This window comes from Homo sapiens, chromosome 17 (assembly GCF_000001405.40).
Source record: "Homo sapiens chromosome 17, GRCh38.p14 Primary Assembly".
NCBI classification, from domain to species: domain Eukaryota; kingdom Metazoa; phylum Chordata; class Mammalia; order Primates; family Hominidae; genus Homo; species Homo sapiens.
The window spans coordinates 75,573,925-75,581,734 of record NC_000017.11 but is presented as its reverse complement, the minus strand read 5'-3'; the positions used below and the strand labels follow the sequence as shown (position 1 = coordinate 75,581,734).

The window sequence follows — 7,810 nt, the reverse complement described above, 5'->3', positions numbered from 1 at the left end:
AATGTTAACACAGAGGGAACTTCTGTGTCCGGAATTCGTGGGTTCTTGGTCCCACTGACTTGAATGAAGCCGCAGACCCTCACGGTGAGTGTTACAGTTCTTAAAGACAGCATGTCCGGAGTTTCTTCCTTCTGGTGGGTTCGTGGTCTCGCTGGCTCAGGAGTGAAGCTGCAGACCTTCACGGTGTTACAGCTCTTAAAGCGGCACGTCTTGAGTTGTTCGTTCTTCCTGGCGGGTTCGTGGTCTCATTGGCTTCAGCAGTGAAGCTGCAGGCCGTCGCAATGGGTGTTACGGCTCACAAAGGCAGTGCAGACCCAAAAACTGAACAGCAGCAAGCTTTATTGCAAAGAGCAAAAACAACGCAGCTTCCACAAAGCCTAGGAGATTGCCACCGTTGGCTCCGGCAGCCTGCTTTTATTCTTATCTGGCCCCGCCCACATCCTGCTGATTGGTCCATTTTACAGAGAGCTGATTGGTCCGTTTTGACAGGGTGCTGATTGGTGCGTTTACAATCCCTGAGCTAGACACTGAAAGTTCTCTACCTCCCCACTAGATTAGCTAGATACAGAGTGAGTGTCCACACAAACGTTCTCCAAGTCCCCACCAGAGTAGCTAGATACAGAGTGTCGATTGGTGCATTCACAAACCCTGAGCTAGACACAGGGTGCTGACTGGTGTATTTACAAACCTTGAGCTAGATACAGAGTGCCAATTGGTGTACTTACAATCCCTTAGCTAGACATAAAGGTTCTCCAAGTCCCCACCAGACTCAGGAGACCAGTTGGCTTCACCCAGTGGATCCAGTACCAGGGCCGCAGCTGGAGCTGCCTGCCAGTCCCGCGCCGTGCACCCGCACTCCTCAGCCCTTGGGTGGCTGTGGAGCGCGGGGTGGCGCTCGTCGGGGAGGCTCCTGCGCAGCCCCTGTCCAATCTCCTGTCCCTTTGGGTGCCCTCCTCTTCTTCTTCTTCTTCTTCTTTTTTTTTTTTTGAGTCTTGCTCTGTTGTTGCCCAAGCTGGAGTGCAGTGACACAATCTTCTCCTGCCTCAGCCTCCCAAGTAGCTGGGACTACAGGTGCGCACCACCGTGCCTGGCTAATTATTTTTTTGTTTTGTTTTTGAGATGGAGTCTCACTCTGTCAACCTAGGCTGGAGTGCAATGGCGTGATCTTGGGTCACTGCAACTTCCACCTCCCGGTTCAAGCAATTCTCCTGCCTCAGCCTCCCAAGTAGCTGGGATTATAGGTGGGCGCCACCACGTCTGGCTAATTTTTGTATTTGTAGTAGAGTCAAGGTTTTGCCATGATGACCAGGCTGGTCTTGAACTCCTGACCTCAAGTGATCCACCTGCTTCGGCCTCCCAAAGTGCTGGGATTACAGGACAGGTGTGAGCCACTGTGCCCGGCCTGGGTGCCTCTTCTTTCTGCTGACCCAGGCTGGGGCTTGTATCTTGCTCAGCTCAGTGGGTGTGGCAGGCTTACCCTCTGAGCTTCAGTTTCCTAACCAAGTACCATTTTATTTAAACCTTCTCTAACCCTAGGAATGAAATAGGATCCCATTTTACAGATGATAAAATGGCTCAGAGAGGTTAAGTAGTTTAAGGAGCCAGGTGTGTGCCTGTAATCCTAGCGCTTTAGGAGGCCAAGGCGGGAGGATCGTGAGAGGCCAGAAGTTTAAGGCTGCAGTGACCCATGATTGTGCCACTGTACTCCAGCCTGGGTAACACAGCGAGACCCTGTTTCTTAAAATAAAAATAAAAACAAAATTAAGAAGTAGTTTAAGGCCAGACGCGGTGGCTCACGCCTGTAGTCCCACCACTTTGGGAGGCTGAGGTGGGTGGATCATGGGGTCAGGAGATTGAGACCATCCTGGCTAACACCGTAAAACCCCATCTCTACTAAAAAATACAAAAAAAAAATTAGCTGGGCTTGGTGGCGGGCACCTGTAGTCCCAGCTACTTGGGAGGCTGAGGCAGGAGAATGGCGTGAATCTGGGAGATGGAGCTTGCAGTGAGCTGAGATTGCGCCACTGCACTCCAGTCTGGGTGACAGAGTGAGACTCTGTCTCAAAAAAAAAAAAAAAAAAGTAGTTTAAGCGCCAGGCGCGGTGGCTCACGACTGTAATCCTAGCACTTTGGGAGGCTGAGGCGGGCGGATCACAAGGTCAGGAGTTCGAGACCAGCCTGGCCAACATGGTAAAACCCCATCTCTACTAAAAATACAAAAATTAGCTAGGCATGGTGGCATGCACCTGTAGTCCCAGCTACTCAGAAGGCTGAGGCAGGAGAATCGCTTGAACCCGGGAGACGTAGGTGGCAGGGAGCCAAAATCACTGCCACTGCACTCCAGCCTGGGCGACAGAGCGAGACTGTCTAAAAAAAAAAACCCAGTAGCTTAAGGACACATAACCACTAAATATGGACTTGAGGACCAAGCCCAGGCCCTCTGGCCTTTAATACCCACTTTTCTGCTGAACCCACACTGTGGAGCTCCGCAGCGCTTCTGCTGGAATCAGCTTTGGAACCAGACAGCCTTGGTCCCCCATCCCAGCTGCAGTGCTCCACCCTCCTGGCTCTATGACCTTGAACAACCTTCAGGGAACAGCTTGGCTAATCTTGACATGCAGGGAGACAGGCCACACCCCCGAGCCTGGCTCTCCCCTCTGCTTCCCACTTTCCCACTGACTTCCTTTGCCTGCTTCGCTCACCAGTGTATAGTGAGCTCCTCCCTGGGGCTGTGTGCCGCGCCCTCTCTGGACTTCCTTCCACACTCCCTCCCTCTGGAGCCATCTCCTTCTCTCCTGGCCTCACCCACCATCCACAGTAACTTTCACCTCCTAGGGTTGGGTGTTTACTAGGAATCAGGTGCTGTGTGATTTTACAGGCTCTCATTTAATCCTTTACAACCCTCTGAGGTAAGTCCTATTATTATCCTTCACTTTACAGATAAGTAAACCAAGGTATGGGAGTGAGGTCATGTACCCAAGGTCACACAGCCAGTCACGTGAAAGCCAGTGTACAGGGTTGGATCTGCCTGGCCTCAAATGCTAAATGAACACCAGGTCTCCACCACTTTGAATGCCCAAGACCCTCACATCTCAATCTGCAGACTGGCAGGGTGTGGCAGCTCATGCCTATGATCCCAGCACTTTGGGAGGCTGAGGCAGGAGTATCCTTTGAGACCAGGAGTTTGAGACCAGCCTGGGGCAATATAGGGAGTCCCTGTCTCTACAAAAAATTTAAAAATAAAAAAGTAGGACAGGCGCGGTGGCTCACGCCTGTAATCCCAGCACTTTGGGAGGCCGAGGCAGGCGGATCACAAGGTCAGGAGTTTGAGTCCAGCTTGGCCAACATGGTGAAACCCTGTCTCTACTAAAAATACAAAAATGAGCTGGGCGTGGTGGCTAACGCCTGTAATCCTAGCTACTCGGGAGGCTGAGGCAGGAGAATTGCTTGAACCTAGGAGGCGGTGATTGCAGTGTGCCGAGATCATGCCACTGCACTCTGGCCTGGGCGACAGAATGAGGCTGTCTTGAAAAAAAATAATAATTAGCTGAGCATGGTGGCGCCCACCTGTGGTCCCAGCTACAAGTTTGCTCCAACCCAAGAGTTCAGGCTACAGTGAGCTATGATCACACCACTGCACTCCAGCCTGGGCAACAGAGCAAGACTCTGTCTCTAAAATAAATCAATTTCCGTGGCCAGGCTCAGTGGCTTATGACTGTAATCCTAGCACTTTGGATGACTGAGGCTGGAGGATTGCTTGAGCCTCGGAGGTCAAGGTTGCAGTGAGCCATGATCTCATGCCACTGTACTCCAGTCTAGGTGACAGAGTGACACCCTGTCTCTAAAAAACAAATAAAATAAATCTCCTGACCACAAATCCAGTTGCCTGCTGTATACCTCCCTGGCCCTTGGAGGCAACAGGTAGCCCTCACGCTCACTCATCTCCTCCCATCTGGCAGCCATCCTTGTCAACCCAACCCCTCAATGCCTCTATTTCCCTACCACCGTCGCCTTGCCCTGGATGGCTGTGGGGATCCCAGCTTCCTCCAGTTCATTTTTTTTTTTTTTTTGAGACGGAGTCTTGCTCTGTCCCCAGGCTGGAATGGAGTGGCATGATCTCGGCTCACTGCAGCCTCCGCCTCCCGGATTCAAGAGATTCTCCTGCCTCAGCCTCCCGAGTGGCTGGAATTACAGGCACACGCCACCACACCTAGCTAATTTTTGTATTTTTAGTAGAGACGGGGTTTCACCATGTTGTCCAGGCTAGTCTTGATCTCCTGACCTTGTGATCCGCCTGTCTCGGCCTCCCAAAGTGCTGGGATTACAGGCATGAGCCACCGCTCCCGGCCCCTCCAGTTCACTTTCTAGAGAGGAAGATGCCACGTCCTTCCATCTTGCACACCCATCAATACAAATTGTTGTTCATCTCACACTCCCAGTGGGAATATTTTTCTTTTTTTTTTTTTTTTTTTGAGACAGAGTCTCACTCTGTCGCCCAGGCTGGAGTGGGGTGGCATGATCTCGGCTCACTGCAAGCTCTGCCTCCTGGGTTCACCCCACTGTCCTGCCTCAGCCTCCTGAGTAGCTGGGACTACAGGCGCCCGCCACTATGCCTGGCTAATTTTTTGTATTTTTAGTAGAGATGGGGTTTCACCATGTTAGCCAGGATGGTCTCGATCTCCTGACTTCGTGATCCGCCCGCCTTGGCCTCCCAAAGTGCTGCGATTACAGGCGTGAGCCACCGTGCCCGGCCGAGAATGTTTCCTTAAACTGAAATATGCACACCGACATTAGCTAATACTTCAAAGCACAGCATACTTACAGCAAAGCTCAAAGTTCAGCACTAATCAGCAAGGAAATAAGTTCATGTTCGGAGTCTTCCTGATATTTTCAGGGCTGTGTGTTTTCGACTTCTTGTTCAATTTCATCAGCAAGACCTGTGCTGTGGCCACCAGGCTCCTCTGTGCCACAGAAGTGCAGGTTCTGCCGTTTTTTTCTGATTCACTGGTACTTGCATCATCACCATTATCTTTTTTTTTTTTGAGATGGAGTCCCGTTCTGTTGCCCGGTCTGGAGTGCAGTGGTGCGATCTTGGCTCACTGCAACCTCTGCCTCCCAGGTTTGTGATTCTCCCACCTCAGCCTCCTGAGTAGCTGGGGTTACAGATGCCCGCCACCACGCCCGGCTAATTTTTGTATTTTTAGAAGAAACAGGGTTTGACCATGTTGGCCAGGCTGGTCTCGAACTCCTGACCTCCAGTGATCTGTCTGCCTTGGCCTCCCAAAGTGCTGGGACTACAGGCGCGCGCCACCACGCCCAGCTAATTTTTGCATTTTTAGTAGAGACAGGGTTTCACCATGTTGACCAGGCTCGTTTTGAACTCCTGACTTCAAGTAATCTGCCCCACCTCAGCCTCCCAAAGTGTTGGGATTACAGGCGTGAGCCACTGCGCCCAGCCACCTTTATGGCATATGTTCTTTATGGCAGTATGGGAAGGGACTGATACAGGTGTCTCACCAGGTATCCCCCACCCCTGTGGCTGGTCTCTGCCAGGCATCATCCCTTCCCTGCTTCTTCTAGCATGGTGTTCCTCTCCCTTTGGGGAACTGCTCCCCTACATTCCTCATAGTTCTCGAGGTGCTCATCTCAGAAGTCTTTCTGCACCCTCCCCTGGGGAAACAAGGGACGGTCAAGTGGCCATCTCGAGGTGGACATGGCCAGATGGAACACCTGTACCCAGCTCCTCTGGATGGGCCTTTCCTCGCTCACGCAGAGCAGGCGCCTGTCACACCTGGCCCTCACTGGGCCTCCCTAGTCTGGCCTCACTTTCGGCCCTGCCTGCCAGCCACCTTCCGCTCTCCACTGCCTCCCACGGCAAGCGAGTTCCTGGAGTGGCGGTGAGCCCTCTTGTCCTCTGTCTGGAACAATCTGCTTGCTTACCACACTCTCTGGCAATTCCTGGTTCTCTCTCAGGTCACCCCCCAGGTGCATTTCTCACCAGTGTCAACTGTGGCAGGAACCACAGTTGTCTCAGACACCGGAGAACCCCACGCACTGGCCATACAGTAGGTGCTCAACGAAGACGAGTCAATAAAGATCCAGCCCATGTCCAATCTAAATAACCCAGCCCCTCCCCTGGGGAAGGCCTTTCTCCTTGGGTACCAGCCCCGCTTCAGCAGCACCCCACAGTCCTCCCTGGTGTCTGGAGGAAGCCATCAGGTCTGAGATATTGTGGGTGTCCTTCTTCTGACAGTAGGGAAAGGCCAGCCAGGGGCGGCCAGGACCCAGGGAAAAAGTCAGGCAGACTCAAGATGGTTCGTGCTTGCCATGTGTTCCCACAGAGGGAAGGCACCGCCGGGCTCAGACAAAACGAAGCAGTTTGATTCACACGGCTCCCCAAGTGGATTCTCCTGACACCGGCCCAGGCCAGGGCTGGAGCCTCGGGGGACAGGCAGGGTACCGGCTCCCACTTTCCATTCACATGGAAAATTTCTACACAATTAAAATATTAAAGTAGTGGACCAGTCAAGAGGTAATAGGTGTTTATTAAAAACTTTTTCACCCAGAGGCAGTTAACATTTATAACTTAAAACCCAGCCCACTACAAAAAGGGATGGGAGCAATAAAAACTGTGCAACATTGACCAAAGGACCCAGACAGACGAGGCCCGGGAAGGGCAGCCCAGGGGACTGGGGTCTCTCCTCTCCCGAGGCCCAGAGCAGCTGCATTGTGGAAGCCGGGATGCCCCCAGCCCCTGGCGGGGCCCTGTGCACCGGCCTCTCCGGTTGGGGCAGGGACCCCCGAAAGGCCATCAGTAGTAGTGTGTGCTCATCGCGCAGCCTGGACGCTCAGCCACTCACTCTGCTGAAGGACACAGAGGGACAGCTCAAGATCACCCTGGGCAGGACGGGGTGCCCCAGCCGCCCACGCTGAGCCCAGACATGGTGCTTTCCTGGTCATCAGGGCACGTGTCAGCCCCGTGGGACCCAGGGGAGTGGGGCCGGGGCTCTTCCTCCCAGCCCTTCCCAGCACGGTTGGCAGCTGCACTCAAGCCCAGAGCCCCCACCTCCGCCATTGCTGAGGCTGCACCCCACGGCGGCTCGATGTGAACGCCAGTTGCCGCTCCTGCACAGGCAAAGACAGGGGAGTCATGGCCTCAGGGACCTCCACTCTCAGCGCTCCCCTGAGCCCTCTGGCAGAGCCTCGGGCCCACCCCAGCTGGCCTGGGCGGTGCCTCACCCGCGGTCTCCCTCCAGTGTGCTCTGGATTTCCTTCAGGACTCCTGCAGGCCGGGTGGGAACAGAGGCCCACTGAGGCCCTTGGGGCGGCTAGCCACAGCCCTTCCACCCCCTTTCTCCGTGGGTGCCCATGGATCTGTACCCCGCCTCAGGGCAGTGGCCTGCCCAGCCTCCCTTGACCCTGACCCCCCTTCCCCACCCCTCCTGCCAGCCCCACCCTCTCCCACCCAACTCACTCTCATCACTGAGCAGAGCGCGCTCCATCACCAGGCCGGGCTGCTTCTCTGGAAGGTAGAGGCCGGGTCAGGGCGCCCCGCCTGGGCCCTCCTCGGCCTGGCTCTCTCTCTCCTTACTGAGGTCAGGATGTGGAAGCCCAGGGCCCAGGGCTGGAAGGAATGCCGTCTCTATTCCCAGCCCAAACACTACCTGCTCACTCGGGACCCTTCCCTCCCGTCCAGCCCCAGGTCTGGGCCGGGTGTGGCCCAGGTGTGCATGAGCCCAGGAGGCCTGTCTTACCCTCGCCATCACTCTGAGTCCCTGAGTTCCTGTGGGGGAAGAGACAGTGAGGACCA

At 54.4% G+C, this 7,810-nt stretch overlaps 1 protein-coding gene across 30 annotated transcripts in view, besides 2 other annotated features; it reads right to left on the bottom strand.

The window, feature by feature from the left end:
* Positions 413-707: a silencer, noted in NCBI's record as "tiled region #12965; K562 Repressive DNase matched - State 8:EnhW". NCBI's record gives its function as "represses a minimal TATA promoter and a strong SV40 promoter by Sharpr-MPRA in K562 cells {active_cell/tissue: K562}" and the evidence as "EXISTENCE:reporter gene assay evidence [ECO:0000049][PMID:27701403]".
* Positions 413-707: an enhancer, noted in NCBI's record as "tiled region #12965; HepG2 Activating non-DNase unmatched - State 8:EnhW". NCBI's record gives its function as "activates a minimal TATA promoter and a strong SV40 promoter by Sharpr-MPRA in HepG2 cells {active_cell/tissue: HepG2}" and the evidence as "EXISTENCE:reporter gene assay evidence [ECO:0000049][PMID:27701403]".
* The window catches only part of LLGL2 (LLGL scribble cell polarity complex component 2), a 50,208-nt gene continuing 48,923 nt past the window's right edge, over positions 6,526-7,810 (bottom strand). For 14 of the 30 annotated variants that reach the window (XM_017024626.2, XM_011524802.2, XM_047435975.1 and 11 more), the window contains 5 exons: positions 7,755-7,783; positions 7,475-7,522; positions 7,240-7,282; positions 7,067-7,125; positions 6,526-6,864 (listed from right to left, as the gene is read on the bottom strand). In XM_017024626.2, coding sequence (XP_016880115.1) covers positions 6,857-6,864; positions 7,067-7,125; positions 7,240-7,282; positions 7,475-7,522; positions 7,755-7,783 — 187 coding nt within the window. In that variant the 3' untranslated portion in view covers positions 6,526-6,856. The other 16 variants (XM_047435986.1, XM_047435985.1, XM_047435980.1 and 13 more) reach the window with 4 other exon arrangements.